General features: G+C 34.9%; 1 long non-coding RNA gene across 1 annotated transcript in view; it reads left to right on the top strand.

The window, feature by feature from the left end:
• Positions 1-25,775, top strand: part of LOC101928551 (uncharacterized) — a 44,237-nt gene that overhangs the window by 594 nt on the left and 17,868 nt on the right. Inside the window, exons 2-3 of the long non-coding RNA NR_125900.1 lie at positions 2,528-2,616; positions 24,210-24,286. This is a non-coding gene — a long non-coding RNA (uncharacterized LOC101928551). The remainder of the gene's footprint in view (positions 1-2,527; positions 2,617-24,209; positions 24,287-25,775) is intronic.

Raw genomic sequence — 25,775 nt, forward strand, 5'->3', positions numbered from 1 at the left:
AGAATATTGACATCTTTGAATTAACACTCCCTAAGGTTGAAATAAAGTTTTAATTTAGGAATCAATCAGAAAGTTGCTTATTTAATATAAATCTAGTAGAGAATAATTAGCCCTATGGCAGGCTTACATATTGTCACTGAATATGAGCCTAGTGAACTTACCTTCTGCATAAGGATTGACCTACTGAGAACACTAGAATAATCATGAAATGTTATTAGTTGATTTGGTGACCCTCTATTTTGAATAGAGGGAGAATATCCAATAATTTATTTACATTTGCTTGTCTAGGCTACACAATTTTGTACATGAATCTCAGCAACAGCTTCCTAATTGTTTCTCCTGCTAATCTAATTAAAGTTCCATTGTAAATATTAAGTTTTTTAAAGTAAATCAAACGATGCTACTTCTATTCCCAAAGCCCTTTATTTCCAATGCAACAAATTGAATTCATACTCCCTTTTATAACTCACGAGACTCTGAATACTATCCCGTTGGTAATCTCCTGAGCCTCATTTTTTTAAATGTGAAATTGTATTTATTTTTTGTACATTTTGTAGACAGTTTTAACTTTTCAGAATATTTAAATGAGTAATTTATTGTAAAATCCACAGAAAATTTATTTTGCTTATTTATTTAAAAAAATATTTATTAAGAGATGATCGATGTTCAAAAAGCTGTAGATATTTAACGTATACATCTTAATGTGTTCGGAGATAAGAATACACCTTTGAAACCGTCAACACAATCAATGCTATAATCCTATCCATGACCTCCCAAAGTTTTCTCCCACTCTTTTGATTGTTTTGTTTTTTCTTTCTGTGGTAAGAGCATTTAACGTAAGATTTATCTTCTTAACAAATTTTAAAGTATACAATACAGCATTGTTAATCATAGGCCCTTTGCTGTGCAGGAGATATTCAAAAATTTTTTGTCTTGTATAACTGAAACTTTAGACCTTTTGTCCAATCCTTCCCCAGTTTACTCCTCCCCTATCCTCTGATAACCAACCCTTTACTCTGTTTCTGTGAGTTTGACTGTTTTAGACTCCACATATACGTGAGATCATATAGTATTTATCCTTCTGTTGACTGGCTTATTTCTCTTAACATAATGTCCTTCAGGTCCATTCATGATGTCACAAATGTTCAGGTTTTCTTCTTTTTTTAAGGCTAAATAACTTTCCTGCGTGTATATATATTACCATGAGTCATGGTGTCACAACTGATTTCTTTATCCATTCATCCACCAATGGACACAGAGGTTGTTTCCATATCTTGACTACTGTGAATAATGTTGCAGTGAACATGGAAGTGCAGATATCTCTTCAACAAACTAATTTCAATTCCTTTAGATATGCACTCAGAAGTAGGATTTCTGGATCAAATGGTAATTTTAGTTTTAATGTTTGAGTAATCTTCATCTTGTTTTCCATAGTGGCTTTACCAATTTACATTCCCATCAACAGTGTAAAGTGTTCTCTTTTCTCTACATCCTAGCCAACACATGCCCTTTGTTTTTTGATAATAGCCAACTTAACAAATATGAGCTGATATCTCATTGTGGTTTTAATTTGTATTTTCCTGATGACTGGTAAAAGCCATTTTTCATATACTTATTGGCTGTTTTATGTCTTCTTTTGAGAAATGTCTATTCAGTTCCCTTGTCCATTTTTTGTTTGGGTTGTTTTATTGCTATTGAGTTGTTTGAGTTTATTATACATTTTAGATATTAACCACTTTTCAGATACGTGGTCTGCAAATATTTACTCTCATTCTATAATTTACTTTTTCATTTTGCTAACTGCTTCCTTTGCTGTGCAGAAGCTTTTTCATTAGATGTAATCCCACTTGTTTATCCCTGCTTTTTTTTTCCTGTGCTTTAGTGTCATATCCAAGAAATCATTGCCCAGTCTAATTTGTAGAAGATTTTCTCCAATGTTTTCTTCCAGGACTTGTATTGTTTTATGTTTTACAGTTAAGCCTTTAATCCATATTGAGTTGATTTTTGCATATAGCGGGAGATCAAGTCCAATTTCATTTTTTTGTGTGTTGAATTTTGATTTTTCCAAAACCATTCATTGAACAGACTATCTTTCCCTCATTGTGTATTCTTGGCACCTTTGTGGAAGATCAGTTGACCTTATATGCATCGGTTTATTTATGGGCTCTCTGTTCTACTCAACTGGTCTGTATGTGTGTTTTTATGCCAGTGCCTTGTTTCAATAACTAGTTTTGTAATACATGTTCAAATCAGGGAGTGTGATACCGTCAGCTTTGTTCTTCTTGCTCAAAATTGCTTAGACTTTTTTTTTCTTTACTGGTTTCCCTTTTCCCCACTATGTATCAGTCACATGAGCTGTTTCTTTTCTCAGAATTTGTCTACTTTAAACACCTGTCCTCTTGGGCTTTCTATCTTTGGTTACCTTTCAGCCTTTAACTCACAGTACGGCTATCAGTTTCTTTCTTGAGCACAATATATAACAAAATTTCCCCTTTACTTTTAATTCATGGTGTTTTTTTCTTCACAGATGAAATATAATTTGATGTTTGCCCTTGTTTGAATACTCCATGAAGATGAGGAAAATACATGTTTGTGTCTAACAGTGTCTGGCATGTGGTAAGTGGTCGGTAAATATACTTTAAATCAATGATTGAGTGCATAAATATTCTTTGTTCTTTGGTTAACCCTTTTTTAAATTCCATGCTTACTAAGCTTTTTAACCCATTCTCTCTTCATAAAATTATTTAAGATCTCTAGGTTGTAGTGTGTTTTCTTTGGCGATCGAAAAGCAACTTTGGAGTTTTTATGTGTGCCCTCAGTTCACTCTAAGAGCACTTTATTTATTTATTTATTTTTGATACAGAGTATTACTGTGTTGCCCAGGCTGGAGTGCAGTGGTGCGATCTCAGCTCACTGAGACATGTGCCTCCCAGGTTCAGATGATTCTCCTGCCTCAGGAGAGTGCCTTGTTTATGAAAAATAAGTTAATATTATCCATTATACTAGAATTTTTACAATTGTAACATGTTAAAAAATATTCAAGACACTCTTTAGAGACAATATGGAAGAGCTTATTCAAGGGAGAATATTGCAATAGGTATAGGGATTGTTGCAATGGGTCTTATAGTGTGGTAGAGACATTGGTCTTGACTCTGATTACAAGAGGAACAAGTGCGAATCTATGGTCAAGGAGTAGGGGCTGGTGAATGAAAAGTTACTAAGAGAAAACATCAGGGATAAGGGGATTCTTCTTACACTGACTTGACAGGATTTTTATTGAAGGTAAACCAGCATGACAAGATATTGAGGGTAAGGAATAAGGAATTTGATCAGATATCAAGGGTGTTTATGTAAGGGCAGGGGATTTTCACTAGACTAGCCCAGCAAGATTCTTGCTAAAAGTGCTCTAAACAGGCAGAGCCACTGGAACTAAGGACAAAGCCCAAGGTCAGGGCCTAGTCAGAAAGAAGACTCAGAGGAGTCTGACTCAGGCTTGGGCAATAGCTTAGACTTTTTTGAAGTCTAAATATGGCAATTCCATTACATTGGAAGATAACATGTTAATAATGCATCTATTGATGTCCACAGCTTTGGTCAGAACCACACTAAAAAGAAACGTTAAGAACTTACCTATTATAGCATTTTAACTGGATAACAAGTAGGCTGCATATGGTATCATCACAGTATCTAATGATATGCTACAGAATTAATAATTTACCTCTATAGAAAAAAATTATAATCAGTTAATTTGTACAGTTAATACATTTTCTGAGTTTTGACTATTAATTTCTAACATAACAACTATCACATATGTAAGTGTTTTATAAGACCATTATCACTTCCAGCTTCTTCCAAAATCTCATTTTCTTAACTAATGTTTATAGTATTTTTGCCAGAGTATATATCCTAAAAAAGGTGCCCATAATCAAAATGTCTAAAGTACTGGAAATATATTATTTAAAAAAAAAACTAAATACCTAGCTGAGATTTCACAGATAAATAATAAAAAATACCCACAGGACCAAACTATTGAAAAGGAATGAAGCAAAAAAAGAAGTGAGGACTGAAGCTGAAGGGTGCCCAAGGGGAAACAACTGATCTCTCTTCGACTAGAGCTTCCATTTTAACTCGAGGCCCGCAGAATTGGAGCAATGACTACAGCCCAAACAAAGCCCTAAACACTATGTCTTTTAAAACCAGCAATCCCTGGAGTGAATAACCACAGGACACAATCTAGAAAAACTATTTATATCCCAAAGGAAAGAAGGAAACTTGTCTGTCTCAGCTTTAGCTCTGAATGAGGCCAGCAAAATCTCGCTAAAATGTCATTTACCAAAAACATATACAGTTTTTGAGCCAGAATTAACACCACCTATGGCCACAGAAACACCAGGTTACAAATATGTATTTAACTGGTGCTGTGATTTTAATGTCCCAGAAATCTGGTAGAAACAACCATAATTCTCCCTGGAGGACTATATCTTAAGTTCAAGTCTGAAGGGAAGAATTCCCACAGAGAAAGTTCCAAAGAACATATGCTCAGTATCAAAAACAGAACACATGAAGAAACAAGCTATGAATTTGAGTCAACAAAGCAGGTAAAACAGAGTTTGAAGTATAAAGATTGTAGATGTTGGAATAAGTGGCTAGAGAATATAAAGTAAGTGTGTTTGTTAGAAGAATAAAAATATGGCTGGCACTATAAAATTGGTCAGTTAGATTTTTTAAATAACCAGGAAACTATGTAGAAATGAAAATTATTGTAGCTAGAATTTAAAAATTATGGATATTTTTAACAGCAGATTAAGCATGCTGGAAGATAATAAGTGGGTTAAAAGATACATCTGGGGCTGGGTGCGGTGGCTCAAGCCTGTAATTCCAGCACTTTGGGAGGCGAAGGTGGGCGGATCACAAGGTCAGGAGTTCAAGACCAGCCTGGCCAATATGGTGAAACCTCATCTCTACTAAAAATACAAAAAAAAAAATTAGCCAGGCTTGGTGGCAGACACCTTTAGTCCCAGCTACTCAGGAGGCTGAGGCAGGAGAATCGCTTGAACCAGGGAGGCAGAGGTTGCAGTGAGCCGAGATAGTGCCACTGCACTCCAGCTTGGGTGACAGAGCGAGACTCCATCTCAAAAAAAAAAAAAAAAAAGAAAGAAAAAGAAAAAAGAAAAAGATACATCTGAAAATTATACAATATTAACCATACAGAGTCAAAGATATTTACAAAAACAGGCTTAAAGACATGGAGAAGACGTTTAAAGACATGGAGAAGAGATTCATGATTTCTAGCAAAAATTAGATGCATATTAAGAAAAAATATAAATTAAATGGTGATACGTAAAATATGAAGAGACAATAACTGAAAGTTTTATCAAAACGATTAGATATGAATTTTCATATTATGGAAGTGAAAATTATTCCAGCAGGACAATGGAGAAAAACTACAGCTAGACTGCGTAATACTAAACCGCGTATGCAGTCTAGCCTAGACTGATAGTATTTCTTGTAAAATACTTATATATGTGATAGTTTTTAATGTTAGAAATTAACAGTCAAAGCTTACAGACTGACTAGGCTAGACTGCATAATGCTAATGACAAAGACATCTCAAAAGCTGCTACAGAGGAGAGCAGCTTTTATTATTTTAAAAGAATAAAAATAATGAATAACAGCTATATACAGTTTATAAGAGTCAAGTATAAACCAAAGGATATTTAGAAGCATAAAAGTAAAAAGAGAGGAAAACACATCAGGTAAATGCTGAACCCTGCAAAAGTAAAATAAAATATTAAGCAAAGTAAAGAAATTAACGTATTTACACACGAACCCACAAAAAGCATCTTTATATAATGAATAAAGTTTTACCAAATGGATAGGAAATTTCTAAATTTGCATACATCTAATAATATAGCCTCGAAACATGTAAAGCCAAAAAATCAAAAGGATAAATCTAGCACTATAGCAGGGCATTTTCATATGCTATTCCATAGCTTTTATGATATGAATTAGGACATTAATTTTGAAAAATATATATGATTAACAAATTTGATTAATGAGAATAGTTAAACAACAATACAACCACAATTTTGTAATAAGCATTTTTTTTTTTTGAGACAAGGGTCTCTGTGTCACCCAGGCTTGAGTGCAGTGGCATGACAATAGTTTGCAGCAGCCTTGAACTTCTGGGCTCAAGAGATCCTCCCACCTCAGACTCCTGAGTAGCTAGGACTACAGACATGTGCCACCATGCCGGATTAATGTTTTTTGTTTTATTTTTTGTAGAGATGGGTCTCTTGCTATGTTGCACAGGCTGATCTTGAACTCCTGGCCTCAAGCTATCCACCTTGGCCTCCCAAAGTGTTGGGATTACAGGCCTGGGCCACCGGACCCAGCCCATAATAAGCATTCTTTTTAAGCATACATTAAGCATATAGATGCTCAAATTATAGAATTTGAACATATAGACGATAAACAAATTTCAGCTAATTTTAAAATGTGCTATCATCTCAGAGAATGAATTTAAAATTGAAATTGAATAAAGTTAAAATGAATAATTATATAATGCAAATTAGGAAATATTTATAACTTAAGGTAATAAGAATACTACATACCGAAGGCCTCTAAAACTGTGATTAAAAACAAACGGGTATCCCTAAATTGTCTTAAAGTCGGAAAATTAATGATGCACACATAGAAATTAAGATGCGGTCATGAACAGCTCAATAAATCTCATAAATATACAAGGAAGTAAATACACATAAGAGAATAAGTAATTAATAAAGTAGAAAACAAAGATAAAATAGATCATTATAAAAGCGAAATGTTTTTCAACAGGGTTTAAATTAGCAAAATTTCTCACAATAATAAAAAAGCAGAAAAAAGAGAAGCAGCAAATAAATAGTATTGAATACTCAAGTTTGGAAAATAATATGATAGTCAAATATTGATAGCCAGGGCATTTCCTAAAAAATGAAAAAAGAAGAGTGACAATCTAATAAAAGACAAATGTGGAAATATTGCATTAACAGGAATTTAAAAATACAAAATAGGTGTTTGTATAATTAAAGATGTTAGACTTTGGCCGGGCATGGTGGCTCACGCCTGTAATCCCAGTACTTTGGGAGGCTGAGGCAGGCAGATCACTTGAGGTCAGGAGTTTGATACCAGCTTGGCCAACATAGTGAAACCCTGTCTCTACTAAAAATACAAAAATAAAAATTAGCTGGGTGTGGTAGTGTGCACCTGTAACTCCAGCTACTCCAAAGGCTGAGGCACAAGAATTGCTTGAACCCAGGAGGTGGAGGTTGAATTGAGCTCAGATTGCACCACTGAACTCCAGCGTGGGTGACAGAGTGAGACTTTGTCTCAGAAAAATAAAAAAATAAAGATGTTAAACTTTATTTGTAATTAAGGAATACAAATTAAATTATGGGCACAATTTTAGAGCCGACATATTGACAAGTGTGTAATTGTAATACCAATTGTTGCATGAGTGTGGATCAACAAAAACTTATATAGGGCTAATGAAAATGTACACCCATTTTAAAAAACAAGTTTTCTCTACATTAACTATAATCAAGAATGCTAATCTTAATTATATATCCTAGAAAATAATCTGGCATTGGTACAACAGGAAGAATGTACAAGAATGTTCATAGTTTTTAATGGAAAGTTGGCTTGAAATAAATGAAATGTCTACCAATAAACAAAGAAACAATAAGTAAGTAAATGAGTGAAGTATGTCGATGTAGAAGAATATTATACAACCATTAAAATGGATATAATTCAGCTACTTATTTCAACATGAGTGAATCATAACTACACAATGAAATACACTGTAGAAAACAGAGAATTCCACATAAAGAAAGTGTCATTGTTTGTGTCAATTGATTGATAAGTAGCTGTATTGAATACTTTACTGTATAATAACCCCTATATTATCTGTTGACTCGAGATTCCAAACTTTAAAAATATTGTTTCTAGAGTTTAAAATATTATTGGAGAAATCATACTTATATACCCAAATAGTAAAGACCAAAACAAAACAAACAAAAACATTCGAGGCAATATCTAACCAACAGCTAATATGCTTGGTTCAGATAGTATGGATTTTAGGAATTTAGAAAAATGTGAAGCCAGAATAATAGAGTGCACTCTATGAGGAGGTAAGTGATAATACAGTGTAAAATTTAGGTAAGTTGTTGGAAGGCATATCAAAGACACCAGACCCGGTTTATGTGCCGTACAATTTGAGATTCTGCCCCAGTACTTCAGCTAGTAAATTGCTCCCCTGTTGGAGTGATGTAAACTTTTAATCCTGAAGGATGTGAAACCTTGGTTACTTTGTCTTTGTTCAGTCATGTTTGGTGAATTTGCCAACTTATCTCTAATCTCTAGGCATGAAACAACCAAGAGACAATGCATTGGATCTCCTGGATTCCCAAATAGATACTGTAAATTGTATTGTATAGCAGAAATCTTAGCTTCCGATTTTAATCAATGCTGATTACCATGGCTACATGGCTGCTGAAGTGAAATGACTTTTTTTTTTTGTCTGCAGATCCACTGGCATGATAAAGGCATGGTAGTTGGCCAGATGGTACATGTAGTTTCTAGTTCAATGGAACTCTTCCTGTATCTCTAACAGATGAGTTTTCCCTTGACACCAGAAACTATTGCCTATTAGAGACAAAGGTTATGAAGTGAGGAAGCACAAACTCTCTAAATAAGTGGAGGTCGAAATGAGAAAGTTTGATCCTACTTGTACTCCTAGGTTCCTGAACTCATATGTTCCCAGCATTGGTGTCTGTATTCATTTGCTAGGACTGCCAAAACAAAATACCACAGACTGGGTGGCTTCAACAACTGAAATTTATTTTCCTAAGTTCTGGAGGTTAGAAGTCCAAGATCAAGGTGCCAGCAGGTTTGATTTCTTCTGAGGCCTTTCTCCTTGGCTTGCAGATGGCCACCTTCTCACCTCGCCTCACTGTGGTCTTTCCTCTGTGCATCCACATCTCTGCTTTCTCCCTGTGGGTCCTAATCTCCTCTTCTTATAAGGACGCCAATCAGATTGGATAAGGGCCCATCCTAAGGGCTTCATTTTAACTTTATTACCTCTTTAAAAACCCTACCTCCAAATACAGTAGCATTCTGAGGTCCTGAAGGTTAAGGCTTCAGCATATGAATGTTTGGGGAAACACAATTCAGCCCCATACATTGGCAGTTGATTTCGGGAATGTACTGCATCATGGAGAACACTACTGCACAGCCACAGGCTGTTGTCCTAAAGCCAGGATATTTGCTGAACCTTCAATGGGGTACTCAGCCATTCTATTAGGCCAAATATGTATAATATGTATGATATAAGACCAATTAATCTAATAGTGGTGAGACCATTATTCTGTATTTTGCTGACAATAGAAAATGTTGACAAAAAGAATCAAATTCTGTGAAATATTTTAAGAGGTTTATTCTGAGCCAAATATGAGTGACCACAGCCTGTGACACAGCCCTCGGGAGGTCCTGAGAACATGTGCGCAAGGTGGTTGGGGAACAGCTTGGTTTTATAAATTTTAAGAAGGCATGAGACATCAATCAAACACATTTAAGAAATACATTGGTTTGGTTCAGAAAGGTGGGACAAATCAAAGCGGGGGCTTCCAGGCTATAGGTAAATTTAAACATTTTCTGGTTGACAATTGGTTGAGTTTGTCTAAAGACCTGGGATCGATATAAAGGAATGTTCAGGTTAAAGATAAAGGATTTTGGAGACCAAGTTTTATTGTGCAGAGGAAGCTCCCAGATAGCGGACTTCAGAGAGAGCAGGTTGTAAATTGTTTCTTAATGGGACTTAAAAGGGTGCCTGGCTCTTAGTTGATTATCTCCTGGATAGGAGGAAAGGAAGGAAAACGAAGGGGAAAGGGGATTCTCTATAGAATGTGGATTTTCCTGCAAGAGACCTTGAAGGACAATGAAGGTAGGGTAAGGAAATATATTTTGGGGTTAAATATTTTTTCTTTGTCTCATAATGTTATGCCAGAGTCAGATTGAGAAGTAAGTCATAATATATAGGGTCAAAAAAACCCATCTGATGAAAATTGTTTGTAGGGCATGACTCCTTAGACCCCTTAGGGAGGAATTTGTGTAAAATAAAAAAATCAGAGCTTAGTCCTCAAAAATTATCTATTTTCTTTTAAATTGAAAACATTTAAAAATCTTTTTGAGGGGTATATTTCAGAATATTCCTTTTTAAAAGTCTGTTTAACTGTCTCATACACACATATTCACAAACACTGAGAAATTATTTTTGTTCATGAAATGAAAAATGGCATTGTTTAAAATGATTTACTAAATCATATAAGTCTTCAAACTAAAACATATTATTATTCTCTCTGTAGTTCCTTTTTTCTATGGCTAAATGTATTTGGAATGCTATGTGTTGTTTTCCTGGAGAGCGTCCCACGTGATTCTTGAGTGATTAGACAATGACTAGCCATTAAGCCACTTTTTTTGCTTTATTATTATTTTAAATTTTAAAATGGGAATATTATGTGATTATTTTTCACTGAAGTGAAAATGCAAATAAATTACCCAAGAGGTGGTTTATAGAGGAGATACTTTTGTTGTAGGTATAATACCTTTTAGTGTTTTATGAAAATCCTCATTTGTTTCTCAGCTGGTAATGTGTCAATACGATGTATGTGTGAAATTCTAGAGTTGCTTGTGACAATGTTCTGTTTGTTTCCATGACCCCAGCAGTTCCTCCTGCATAGCCCTTCAGGCTAGAGTCCCTTTATTATTTCATCTACCTCCAGAATGTTGTTCTGCAATTTACCCACTTTTATAGCATATACGACCATGACCAAACAATCTAGAACTTATTTAATACATACAATAGAGTATTCAGGGTAGACAGTTTACCTAAATATGGCCATTATAGGTTGAATTTTGTCCTCCCAAAAGAGATGTGCTGGAGCCCTAACCAGGGGTATGTCATGTGACCTTATTTGGAGATAGGTTCTCTATAGATGTAATCAAGTTAAAACGAGGTCATTATGGTGCGCCCTAATCCATTATGACTGATGTCCTTATATAAAGAGGAAATTTGGACACAGAGATAGACAAGCATAAAGGGAAGGTGATAAAAAGAGAGTAGACGATGGCCATCTGCAAGCCAAGGCAAGAGGACTGGAACAGACACTCCCTTCACAGTCCTCAGAGGTAACCAACTCTGCCATTGCCTTGACTTTGGACTTTTAACCTCCGGAAATGTGAGGCAGTAAATTTCTGTTGTTTAAGCCACCCAGTCTGTCATACTTTGTCACAGCAGCTCTAGAAAACTAATAAATTCGGCTCTCTACACCTTCTATTCAAATTCCTGACAATCTGTCTGTCTTTTCTAAATCAAATTGCCACTGGAATCAGTGAGAGAATAGGCTTGAAGATCTTTATGGAAAGAACAGATAAGGACTCTTTCCTCCTTGGGCTGAAGGAGAGTTTCCAGATTCTTGGAAGAACCTATCACACAGAGACTCTTAGATTCTTAGAAGGAAATTTGACATTGGTAAAAATTTCTCCAGTCAGTATGACCTTAGGGACCTAATTCAGCTCCTAATTAGGTCCTCTGCTCCTGAGGTTGAGTATATGCCTGGAGACCTGGGAACAGGAAGGCTTCATCCTGCTCCTCCGCAGTGGGTGCTGGCAGCCCTTCTGCTCGTGCACCACTGGCTCAGTGTTGTAGAGAGTAGTCTGCCTGCTTGCAGTTGTTTACCCCCACCACCAGATCTAAGGGCTAATAAAGAAAATAACAAACAGGGGTTCTAACAGCCAGAGAGAGGATCAGTCAGCACAAACAGATCTCATGACAGCAAAATAGAGTTGCTGCAGGAGACAGAACATACTTGAACAAACAAATAATAAGAACTCTTAGGAAAATTCAAGTGCACCCCAATCACACATACTTTCTGGAAAATCACATGATTTTCCAATTAAATGTTTCAGTAGGTAAACTGAAGGATGCTATAACAGAGGTATAGAAGATCTTATAGAATAAATGTGTCAAAGCACAGAAGTGCAAGTTATAATAAACAAACAAACAACTAGCCATTTGGAGAGTAGATGAAATAAAAATAACCGGCAAAAGTTGGACTTACGTAAGAAAAAACATGACAGAAGCTTAAGTAAACAAATACAAGAAGAGATACCATGAATTGAGACAAAATTATCAGAAGAATGAGTCTTACTAAGTTTTAGGCAATTTTAAAGTGAAATAAGCAAAGCTAGCCATCCCTGCTATAATTAAGCTTTTTAAAAAGAAAAAAAAGGTTATAATATTTCACACAGAGATTCTAACAGAAAAATCTAAACAAACAATTAGTAAAAAAGAACCTAGCCAATTTATCAAAGAAAAAATGTACTCTACAGCCAAGGAGGGTTGATAGCAAGAAGACGAGACTCTCTCAATATAAAAAAACTGCCAACATAATTACCAACAAATTTAAGAAATAAAGCATATGATCATTTATGAATTTTGACAAGCAGTGGGTAAAATGTTTAAATTTCCAAATAAAACAGGTATGTTTGTAAGATACTTGAATTTAGTAAATATTGTCAAAAATGCTGCATAGGCTGGGCATGGTGGCTCATGCCTATAATCCCAGTGCTTTGAGAGTCCCAGGTGGGAGGATGACTTTAGGTCAGGAGTTGGAGGCCAGCCTGGGCAACAGAGTGGAGACCCTGTCTCTACAAAAAGAAAAAAAAAAAAAAGAAAACAATAAAACAACCAAGCATGGTGGTGCATGCCTTTAGTTCCAGCTATTTGCAGGCTAAGGGGGGCTAATTCCTTGTGCCCAGGACTTTGATGCTGCAGTGAGCCTACGCTAGCACAACCTCACCCCAGTCTGGGTGACAAAGTGAGACCCTATCTTTCCCCCCACCTCCCAAAAAGGTGTGTAGACTATAATGTTAAAAGTTAAGGCACTAAACCATTTCAATCAAACCAATTATTATTCTATGACGCCCTGGAGATTCAGTGAATGTAGTGAAGTAATGACATATAAAACAAAACTCACATAGCCAATGAATATAAGATAAAATTTTTAGGTGTAGATAGATAGAGGGAATGGAAAACCGTGTACAAATGGACAAAAATGCATAGAATCCCTCAATATCATGTCTAATATACTTTTGCATTTTTAGAAAATGATATATGGTGTGTATACATACAAAGAAAAGAAATTGGCAAATTTTTCAATAACTACTAAGATTAGCAAACCTTATTACCCACTCTTCAGGAGCTATAACTGAAGAAACATTTTTAGACAAATGTTCTTATTTGGTATTAACAGATTGTTTTACTTATATTCTTCAAATTATGTAAGAAATGTGGAAGCCAGCCATTCGAATTCGATTTGTCACATGCAGTTTTGCCAGAGCTTTTTCTCTCATGATTATTGGTGTTCAAAAGTTTAACACTTACTGTATTATTTACCGTAGATAATATTCATGATAGGAATCCCATGGCTAATAAGCACAACTTGACTTTGTATTTATTTTATGCATTACTAAAAAAAATTCCATTCACAAATACTGACTGAGCCTCATTCTATGTAGTGTTAAAGAAAATAAATGAGAGTTTAATTTTTTTACAAAACATTATTTCCTGGCTTGTATCCTTTACATTTTTTTTTTTTTTTTTTTTTTTTTTTTGAGACGGAGTCTCGCTCTGTCGCCCAGGCTGGAGTGCAGTGGCGGGATCTCAGCTCACTGCGAGCTCCACCTCCCGGGTTCACGCCATTCTCCTGCCTCAGCCTCCCAAGTAGCTGGGACTACAGGCGCCCGCCACTACGCCCGGCTAATTTTTTGTATTTTTAGTAGAGACGGGGTTTCACCGTTTTAGCCGGGATGGTCTCGATCTCCTGACCTCGTGATCCGCCCGCCTCGGCCTCCCAAAGTGCTGGGATTACAGGCGTGAGCCACCGCGCCCGGCCTCCTTTACATTTTTGAAGTTAAAAAATATGTTACACAGCTCATTCCTTTTTTTCAAAACATTTGAATTGTACTCAGAATATTATGCTTTTTGCCTTTATAACATGAATTTAAAACATACAGATAATTTTATTTGAATAGGTTACAAAATGCTTACCTTAAAAATATATATATATAGTATTTCTTTTTTTAATTGATTTTTTCTGTGATGATGTTATTTATGCCTTATTTTGACACTGTATTTTTTAAAATTAAATTAGATTTTTTTTAAACTTCCAGGTTACATGTGCAGGATGTGCAGGTTTGTTGCACAGGTAAACATGTGCCATGGTGGTATGCTGCACCTGTCAACCATCACCTAGATATTAAGCCCAGTATGCATTAGCTCTTTTACCTAATGCTCTCCCCTATTGCCCTTCCCTGACAGGCCCCAGTGTGTTTTGTTCCCCTCCCTGTGTCCATGTATTCTCATTGTTCAGTGCCCACTTATAAATGAGAACATGTGGTGTTTGGTGTTCTGTTCCTGCATCAGTTTGCTGGGGATAATGACTTCCAGCTAATCCATGTCTCTGCAAAGGACATGATTCCTTTTCATGGCTGCATAGTATTCCATGGTGTATATATACCACTTTTTCTTTATCCAGTCTATCATTGATGGGCATTTGGGTTGATTCCATGTCTTTGCTATTGTGAATAATGCTGCAGTCATTGCATATTTTTAATGTTTTTCCTTTTAGGTAAACATTTGATACATTTTCATTGCAAAAATTTTCTCCCCTCAGATTATTACAATGATTTTCCTGCTAATTATTTATCCTTTCTTTCTTTATTATAACGTAATTTTCCTATATACTACTTTAAGAACATTTACAAGTGTATTAGTTGAAAAGTACTGTAATATCAGAAGAATTGTGATAATTTATATTACAGATCTTCAAATGATACCCAAACTCTTAAGTGTTTCGTTTTATAGATGATACATTATCTGTTGGGGGGATAATGTTTCATTAAACTTATGCCTAATTTTGTGTTTATACTTGTCTGAAACTATACACTGAATTCTTTTTTGTAAGTACAATAGTTTGGTTGTAGCTGGGAGCTGCTTGCTACTTGAAGTCTGGAATTGTTATACTCTCAATAACTGTCACAAATTTTTTACTTTGTAAAAGAAAGTTTTAACTTCTCAATTGAGAAACTTTATTTTAACACCTCCATTTATTAACACCCTTAACAAATTTAGGCAGCCCTTTTCTATACTGTGTGATTATTTCAACTACAGAGTTTGTCTAAGTATTGAAATTTTTATTTACATTCTTGTTTCTTCATTAGACTGAGAACACATTTTTTTAAGGGCAATGTCTTGTTTTAGTTTACATCACAACCTTAAAACTTACTGAAGTGCCTGACACAGATATAGGATAAAATTAATATTTAGAGTCAATGAATAAATAAAATGTATGTTTCCATTAACAATCGGTGGGGTGTCTTTTTTGGTAAGTTGGAATTTCTCTCCAGTGTGATCGATTTGCCTTCATGTAATAGTTAACAGAACTGATAAATGGCCAACATAACAATTCAGCCTTTTTTCATATTAAACAGATACCATTGAAACAGATGTTCCTGCATTAGGTTCTCAAAACAAATGAAGCATGGCTTTGATTCCACACATACAAAAACAAGTGATTCACAATGGCAGTTTCAAATTTGTGGTCACAATGATTAGTGTTCTACTTGTTACAAAGGATTTGATTAGTCATTTTCTAGACATTTTGAAATTTTAATTATCTGGAATATTTAATATGCATTTTCTTTTTTTAATGCCCTGTAAATGTTTTAAGAGGATGAATTTTTAAAACCTTGTAGAACTTTTGTGTTCTAGAAATATGGTTGAGTGTGAGAAAGATCTCTATTTGCTGAGATAGCAAAATGTTTAAGGAAACCTCAAGACCAATAAAAATATTTTTAACATTGGCTTAACTGGCCTGAATTCAACTCCCAGCATTGGCACCTACTCTCTCATTACCTTGCACAAAGTCATTCTAACTAAGCTTTAGTTTGTTATCTATAAAATAAAAGTTGCAATCTGTTTCATATTCATATTTCATTTCATACGTTTTTCTTTGCTCTCAATTCCTTCCAAAACGTTTGATTTTTTTAGAATTCCTTTTGAAAGTTCCAATGTTATTTATGGGAACATTTCTTAACTGTAATACCATTTTATTTTTTCCACAGAAAATCCCAACAATTTAAAGGTTAAAGGTAATATTTTTATTTTATTATTAATATAACTTTGAAATAACAGCTTTATTGAGATATAATTTACATTCATACCATAAAATTCACTCTTTGAAAGTATGCAATTCAGTAGTTTTTAAGTATATTCATATAATTATGCAACCATTACCACTCTCTGATTTTAGAACATATAACCACTCCAAAAATAGACCCCACACCATTAACAGTCACTACTCATTTCCCTCTGCCTCTAGTTCTTGGCAACCACACTAATCTACTTTCTCTCCATGGACTGACCTATTCTGAACATTTCATGTAAGTCAAATCACATATATGTGGGCTTTTGTGACAAGTTTCTTTCACATAGCTTAATGTTTCTCAGATTTGTGGTAATACCCTTATGTTTAGAATTAGTTTTACGTCTAGCAAATATATGCGTTTATGGTTCTATTTTTAATTCAGTGGACTTTATTTTTCTAGAGCAGTTTTAAGTTCACAGCAAAATTGGGTGGAATGTATAGAGGTTTTCCAACTGTATGAAATTATAGACCCCTACTTCCACAAAAGTATAGCCTGTGTCATAATCAACATCCCCTACCACATAAATACCCCAACTCCCACAAATCTATAGCCTATGTCATAATCAGCATCCCTTATCACAGTGGTACTTTTTAAATTTTTACAAATGATGAACCTACATTGATAGATCACTGTCACCCAAAGTCCGTAGCTTACATTAAGGTTCATTCTTAGTGTTGTACATTCTATAGGTTTAGACAAATATACAGTGGGATTTATCAACCATTGTAGTACCATACAGAGTAGTTTCACTGCCCTAAAAATTCCTTGTGTTCTGCCTATTCAGCCTTCCCTCCCTCCACCCCTGTTATCCACTGATCTTGTTATATTCTCCACAGGTTTGCCTTTTCCAGATGTCATACAGTTGGAACCATAAAGCATGTAGCCTTTTCAGATAGGTTTCTTTTACTTAGTAATAAGCATTTAAGTTTCCTCCATTCTTTTTATGACTTCATAGTTCATTTCTTATTAGTGCTGAACAATGTTCTACTATTCTGTGTAGAGCACACTCTATCCATTTGCCTACTTCTGCAAATCTTGATTATTTCCAAATATTGGAAATTATGAATAATGCTTCCATAAACATATTTGTGTAGGTCATTTTGTGGACATAAATTTTCCTTTAAGTAAATATGAATGAGCATGGTTGCTAAATCATATGGTAAGAATATATTTAGTTTTTAAAGAAACTGCCTTCTAAAGTGTCTGTCCCATTTCACATTCCCACCAGCAATGAATGAGAGTTTCTGTTGCTCTACATCCTCCCAACTTTGGTGTTGTCAGTATTCTGGATTTTGGCTTTTCTCATGGGTGTGTAGTGTTACCCTATTGTCATTTTAATTCCCATTTCCCTGATGACATGTGATGTGCAGCATCTTTTCATATGTTCACTTTTTATCTGTATATCTTTGGTGAGGTGTCCATGAAGACCTTTGGCTCATTTTAAAATTAGGTTGTTTTCTTACTGTTGAGTTTTAAGAGTTCTTTGTATATTTTGGATACCGGTACTTTATCAGATAGGTGTTTTGCAAATAATTTCTCCCAGCCTCTGGCTTGTCTTTTTATTCCCTTTAGAATGTCTTTTGCATAGCAGGCTTTTAAAAGTTTTAATAAAGTCCAGCTTATTAATTCTTTCTTTCATATATTGTTCCTTTGGTGTTGTAACTAAAAAGTTACCACCAAACCTGAAATCATTTATATTTTCTTCTAGGCTATCCTCTAGGAGTTTTATAGATTTATATTTTACATTTAGGTCTGTGATTTATTTTGAGTCAACTTTTGTGAAGGATGTAAGGTCTGTGTCTAGTTTCAACATTTTTTTTTGTATATGGATATCCAGTTGTTCCAGCAACATTTGTTGATAGGACTGTATTTTCTACATTTTTTATTGCTTTTGCTCCATTGTCAAAGATAATTTTACCATATTTGTGGGTTGTGGGCTCTGAATACTGTTCCATTAATCTATTTATCTATTTTTTTAATACCTCTCTCTTGATTACTGTAGTTTTACAGTAGTTTTGAATTTGGGTAGTATTAGACATTTGACTTTTATTTCTTCAGTATTGTATTGGCTACTCTGGGTCTTTTGATACTACATATAAACTTTAGAATCATTTTATCAATATACACAAAATAACTTACTGGGATTTTCATTGAGATTATGTTGAATCTATACAGCTGACATCTTGACAATATTGAATCTTCCTATTCATGAACATGGAATATCTCTCCATTTATTTAGTTCTTTAATTTCTTTCATCAGCATTTTGTGATTTCCTTCATATAAATCTTATATAAGTATTATTAGATTTCTACCTTTTAAGTATTTCACTTTTGGGTGATGCTAATGTAAATGATACTGTGTTTTTAATTTCAAACTCCACTTGTTCATTATTGGTATATAGGAAAGTGATGAATTTTTATATATCAACTTTGCATACTACAATCTTGCTATAATCTTACTAGCTCCAGGACCTTTTTCATTGATTATTTTGGATTTTCTACATGGACAATCATGTCATCGACAAACAAAGATAGTTTTTTTTATTTTTATCTTCCTAATCTATAAACCTATTATTTCCTTTTTCTGTCTTATTCAATTAGCTGTGACATCCAGTATGATGTTGAAAAACAGTGGTTAAGAGAACATCTTTGACTTGTGTTTTAATGGGAAAGCTTGAAGTTTCCTACTGTTGAGTATCATGTTAGCTGTAGGCTATTTGTAGATAATCTTTATTAAGTTGAGGAAGTTTTCCTCTAGTTCTAGTTTACTGACAGTTTGTATAATAAGTGGGGCTTAGATTTTGTCAAATGCTAATTGATTTTTAAATGTTGAACCAGCCTTACATAACTGGGATGAATCCATTTGGGTCATGGCGTATAATTCTTTTATACATTGTTTGATTTGATTTGCTAATGTTTTTAAAGATTTTATAATCTATGTTCATGAGTGATATTGGTCAGTAGTTTTCTTTTCTTGTAATGCCTGTGGTTTGATATCAGTATAATGCTGGCCTCTTATGAGTGAGGAAGTATTCTATTTGATTTTATCTTCTGAAAGAGTTTCTAGATCATTGATATTATTTCTTCCTTAAATGTTTGGTAGAATACACCAGTGAACCCATCTGGGCCTGACACTTTCAGTTATCCAGTTATCAATATTGATTAAGTTTTTAATAGTTATGGGCCTATTCAGATTTTCTATTTCTTCTTGTATGAGTTTTGGAAGATGTACCTTTAAAGAATTGGTGTATCTCATCTAGGTCATCAAATTTGTGTGCATAGAGTTGTTTATAATATTTTATTTTATTCTTTTAGTGACTATGGATCTGTAGTAATATCTCTTCTTTCATTTGTGATATTAATATTTTGTATTATCTCTCTTTTTTTCTTAGCTGATCTAGAAAATTATAGATTTTATTCATCTTTTTAAAGAACCAGGCTTTGGTTTCATTGATTTTCTTTAGTGAATTTCTATTTTCAGTTTCATTGATTTCTGCTCTGATTTTTATTTCTTTTCTCCTGTTTACTTTGGATTTATTTGCTCTTCTTTTCCTAGTTTCGGAAGGTAAAATTTTAGATTGTTGATTTTAGATATTCCTTCTGTTCTAATAAAAGCATTCAATGCCATAAATTTCCCTTTGAGAACTGCTTTTTCTGCATCCACAAATTTTGATAAGTTGTTTTTTTCATTTTTATTTACTTTGAAATACTTTTAAATTTCTCCTAAGATTTCTTTTTTTGGCCCATGTGTTATTTACAAGTATGTTTTTTAATCTCCAAGTAATTTGGGATTTTAAAACTACCTTTTTAAAATTGATTTCTAGTTAAACTCCATTCTGGTCTAATAGCAGCCACTGTATAATTTCTATTCTTTTAAATTTGGTAACTGTGTTTTATGGCTCAGAATGTGGTCTCTCTTTGTGAAGCTTCCATACAATCTTGAGAAGAATGTTATTGTTGAAAGAATTAGTCTACAGATGTTCATTATATCCAGTTGATGATGTCACTGGTGTGTTCAGTTATGCCTTAATGAATTCTAGCTGCTGGAATTTTCCATTTGTGAGAGAGGGGAGCTGAAGTCTTTAATTGTAATAGTGGATTCATCTACTTTTTCTTGCAGTTCTATCAGTTTTAGCCTCATATATTTTGATGCCCTATTGTTAGGCTCTTATATATTAATAATTATTATGTCTTCTTGGAGAATTGACCTCATTATCATTGCGCAGTGCCCCTTGTTATCCCTGATAATTTCCTTGCTCTGAAATCTGCTCTGTCTGCAATTAATCTCGCTACTCCCACTTTCTTTCGATTAGTGTTAGCATGGTACAGTAATCCCCCTTATCCACAAGGAATATGTTCCAAGACTCCCAGTGGACACCTGAAACAGTGGATAGCATCAAACCTTATATATGCTGTGTTTCTTCCTATGTATACATATCTACGATAAAGTTTAATTTATACATTGGACACAGTAAGAGATTACCAACAATAACTAATAATAAAATATAACAATCATGACAATATACTGTAATAAAAGTTATATGAATGTGATTTCTCTGCCTCTCTAAAAATATTTTATTGTACAGTATTCACCCTTCTTGTGATGTTGTGAAATGATACAATGCCTACGTGATAAGACAAAGTGACATGAATCACATAAGCCTTGTGATGTAGCAGTAGGCTAATGATGACCTTTTGTATTCTTAAATCTGTGTAACCATCTTTTAACTTTCCATTAATGACTTGGTGTCATTCATATCAGGAGATTTCTTGATAGAGTCTTTGCATAGGTTCAACACTTTTTGGCACAACACGTTGCTATAATTGAACATGTTTTCAGTTCATGTCTTCCATCCATGAATTATGTGCTTTTTCTACTTAACTAAGTACTTATCATACAATGTGGCTAGAGCTTTTGCAGTTTAAGGTGTGACAGAAAACTACCATAAATTTCTTTTGCTTCTTCATAAGTTTATGGATAGAATATTCATTCTTACTGTAGATCTTAACAACATCAATATATGCTTTTTTTCCCTTTATTAAGTTGAGGATTTTTACCTCTTCACCTAAAAGAATCACTTTATGTCCTTTCTTTGGCATGTTTGAATTTTCAGCATGACTATTATTGCATTTTGGAACCATTATTATGTAAAATACGAATTAACCTGAACACAAGCACTGAGATATCATGATAGTCAATCTGATAACTGAGACGGTTACTAAGCAACTAATGGGCAAGTAGCATATACAGTGTGGGTATGCTGGACAAAAGGTTTATTCACATCCCACACAAGATAATGCAGGATTGATGGTGTGAGAGTTTATCATGCTACCAAGAATGATGCACAATTTAAAATTTATGAATTGTTTACTTCTGGAACTTTCCATTTAATATTTTCGGACTGTTTGTGGCTGCTGTTAATGAAAACTACAGGAACTAAAAACAAAAACAAAAGCAAAAACAAAGGTAAGGGGGGCCTACTGTATATCTTTCCTCATCCATTTACCTGTAATCTATATGTGTCCTTATATTTAAAGTGGGATTTTTTTAGACAACATATAATGGGGTATTTTTTAAAATCTGTTGCTTAATTGGTGCATTTAAATCACTGATTCAAAGTGATTAGTGATATAGTTGGGTTAATACCTAACATATTTGTTAGTTTCTGTTTGTTCACCTTGTTCTTTATTCCTATTTTTGTCTTACACTATTTTTCTGTCGTTTGTGGTTTTAATTGAGCATTTTATATGATTTCATTTGCTCTCCATTCTTAGAGACTTTTTAATGTTTGCACAGAGTTTACAATATAAATTTACAGTGAATCCAAGTCCCCTTTCAAATAACACTATGCCACTTCATGTGTATCTTATAATAACAAAATAATTCATATTTTTCTCTCTCACCCTTATTGTCATTCATTTCATTCATGCATAAGCATAGAAAAGTCTATGTATGTACGTAAGCATACATAATTGAATATATTATTGCTATTGTTAACAAACATCTATCAGATCAATTAAGAATAAGGAAAATACAAGTTTTTATTTTACTTTCACTTATTTCTTAAGTAATGCTTTCCTTTCTTTATGTAGATGTGTGTTTCTGAACTATATCATTTTGTTTTTCTTTAAAGAACTTCTTTTAAAATTTCTTGCAAGTCAGGTCTACTGGTAACAAATTTATTAAATTTTTATTTACCTAAAAAAAAAATTCCTTTACATTTGAAGAGTAATTTCTCAGGGTACAGAACTCTAGGTGTTGTTTTTTTTTTTTTCCTCTCTCAACACTTTAAATATTTCACTCCACTCTCTTCTTGGCTTGCATGGTTTCTGAAGGGAAGTCAGATGTAACTATTATCTCTGTTCCTCTACAAGTGTGGTAGGAGTTATTAAGAAATTATTTTAGGCAGATAGAGAGGAAAAGAGGTCCTTGGAAGGTTTTTCGCAGCTCCAAAAAAACGTTTCTTGTATAGCATGAAAGCCCTGGCTCTTAAACCTGGGACGGCAACCTTTAATATGCAAATGCCAGCCTTTAGAAACTGGTTCCACCCAACATGGCAATTCCCACTGTTGTCCTCTTGCCCTTGCCCCAACAGGTGCCTGACAACATGGCCACCCCCATATATCCCCATGTGTGTAGAACATCATGGTGCCCTGCATTTGCATATTAAAGGGCTGGGGTGGAAAGGCCAGTTTTCTTGCTGGCTAAGTGAATAACATACCTGGTCAAACCAATTCCCTGAGCCCTGTGCAAATCAAACACCGCCTCCTCCAGCCATGGCATAAAACTGGCTGGTATCCTCCAAATGTGGGGTCTCCTCTTTCAGCTTTGGAGCCCCCCTCCCTCTGTCTTTGTACGTGTAAGGACTAAACTCTGTGTAAGGACTGTGTAAGAACTAAACTCTGACCTTTTTCCCCCTTCCTGCCCACATTCTTATCTAAGAGCCCTGGCAAGTCATGCCTTATACACCATGAAATATCTTTAGATGGGTTTTTATTAACCCTATATAAGTTGCTTACTTTCCAACCTGACTATAGTATAGCACCACATGACATATAGCAGACTGAAGGAAATAAAAATATTTTACCCCTAAATGTACTTCTTTGATATATTTTGAAATGGCTGTCACAAGCCAGCAGACTGAAGTAGGAGAAATTTGTATCTGTAGAGAATGGAGATTAATGCAGCCACATTTCCCCTTTCTATCCCTGTCCTGGATCTAGGAGAAATTGAGAGTCTGACACCTTTGAAAGTGAGAAGACACACATTTACCATCTATTCCCTCTGACAGTTTCCACCTTTGAGGGTCTATTTACACAATAAGAAGCCTGGTCTCCACAATCCCATTAATCTTAACTCAGTCATTCTTTTGTACTGGCTTTAAGTCTTTAGATAGTTTCTTAATTCTCTCAACCAATTGTGAACTAAAGAATCCCTAAAACTCACCTATGACTTGTAAGCCCTCATTTTGGGATGTCCCACATTTTCAGGACAAACCCATGTATACCTTCTGCATATTGATTTATGATTTTACCTGCAATGTCTGTCTCCCTGAAATGTATAAAACCAATGTGTAACCCAATCACCTTGGGTACACTTTCTCTCAGGACTTGTTGAGATTGTGTAACCTGGGCTGCGGTTACTCATATTAGCTCAGATTAACATCTATTCGTATATTTTGGCAGATGTTTTTTCTCCATCATCATGTGGTTTGGTGTCTGACTTGATTTGGGGAAAATCTTGGTTATTATTATTTCAAATGTTCTTCTGTTCCTTTATCTCTTCTCCTTCTGATAGTGCCCTTACACATACATTACAGCTTTTGTGGTTTCTCACAGTTCTTAAATATTGTGTTCTGACTTTTTAGTTTTCATTCTCTTTTCTCTTTGCTTTTAAATTTCAGTGATTTCTATTGAGATGGACTCAATCTCAGAGATTCTATTCTCAGCTGTGTCCAGTCTACTGAGAGGCCCATCAAAGGTACTCTTCACTTTTGTTATAGTTTTTTGATCTCTAGCATTTGGAGGGAAGTCTTTCTTATAATTTCCACCTCTTTGTTCACATTGACCACCTGTTCTTACATGTTGTCTACTTTATCCACTAGAGCCCTTAGCATATTAATCATAGTTATTTTAAATTCCCCGTCTGTTACTTCCAACACCCTGCCATCGCTGAGTCTGATTTTAATGCATTTTCTGTCTCTTCACACTGTGTTTTACCTATTTGTATGTCTTGTCATTTTTTTCCTGCCAGGTGGACATTATGTACTGGATAAAATGAACTGATGTAAACAGGCTTTTAGTAATGAGCTGGTACAGTGTTGGGGGAGGGGAAATGTTCTATAGTCCTATGATTAGGTCTCAGTCTTTTAGTGAGCTTGTGTTCTGGACTGTGAACTTCTCAAGTGCTTCTCAGTTTTCTCCACTTAGATGTGACAGGATGACTAGAGGGATCTGAAATTGGGTATTTCCTTTCCTCCACAGGGGATGCTAGAGCCAGCTGTGGTTGGATATTTCACTTCCCCCAGGTCTGTGAGGCTCTGATAAAACCAAGAAGTTAGGCTTTGATTAAATAATCTCCTCTGAGGGCAGACCTTGTTAAGAATAAATGAACTCTCAGGCACATTCAAATGGGTTATTTTCCTCTGACCTGGCCAAAACATGATGGGATTTTTTATCTATTACTTATTGTGAGGGCCTGGAGAGCTCCAGGAGGTAACATGCATGCAAGTGTGTTGGGGGTGGGGGGGGGGTTGCACCGTAACTGGGTTCCCGTTTTTAACTCTCAAGAATTGTCCTCACTGAGCCTCCACTGACTCACAGTTACACTTTTGGTTTTCCTATCCTCGCACTGGTTCCAATGGTGGTTTAAACTCACAACTCTCTGTTCCAATATGCCCTAACTGCCTGTATTCACCTGTTTGTCTCTCCAATTTGGGGGGCATTGGTTTGTCTGTTAAGGTACTAAGAAGAATTTTCAATTTGACTTCCTCTTTTCCTAATTGAATACCCTTTATTTCCTTCTCCTGCCTGATTGCCCTGGCCAGAACTTCCAACACTGTGTTGAATAGTAGTGGTGAGAGAGGGCATCCCTGTCTTGTGCCAGTTTTCAAAGGGAATGCTTCCAGTTTTTGCCCATTCAGTATGATATTGGCTGTGGGTTTGTCATAAATAGCTCTTATTATTTTGAGATACGTCCCATCAATACCTAATTTATTGAGAGTTTTTAGCATGAAGGGTTGTTGAATTTTGTCAAAGGCCTTTTCTGCATCTATTGAGATAATCATGTGGTTTTTGTCTTTGGTTCTGTTTATATGCTGGATTACATTTATTGATTTGCATATGTTGAACCAGCCTTGCATCCCAGGGATGAAGCCCACTTGATCATGGTGGATAAGCTTTTTGATGTGCTGCTGGATTTGGTTTGCCAGTATTTTACTGAGGATTTTTGCATCAATGTGAACAATGAG

This window comes from Homo sapiens, chromosome 4 (genome assembly GCF_000001405.40).
Source record: "Homo sapiens chromosome 4, GRCh38.p14 Primary Assembly".
Taxonomy (NCBI): Eukaryota; Metazoa; Chordata; class Mammalia; order Primates; family Hominidae; genus Homo; species Homo sapiens.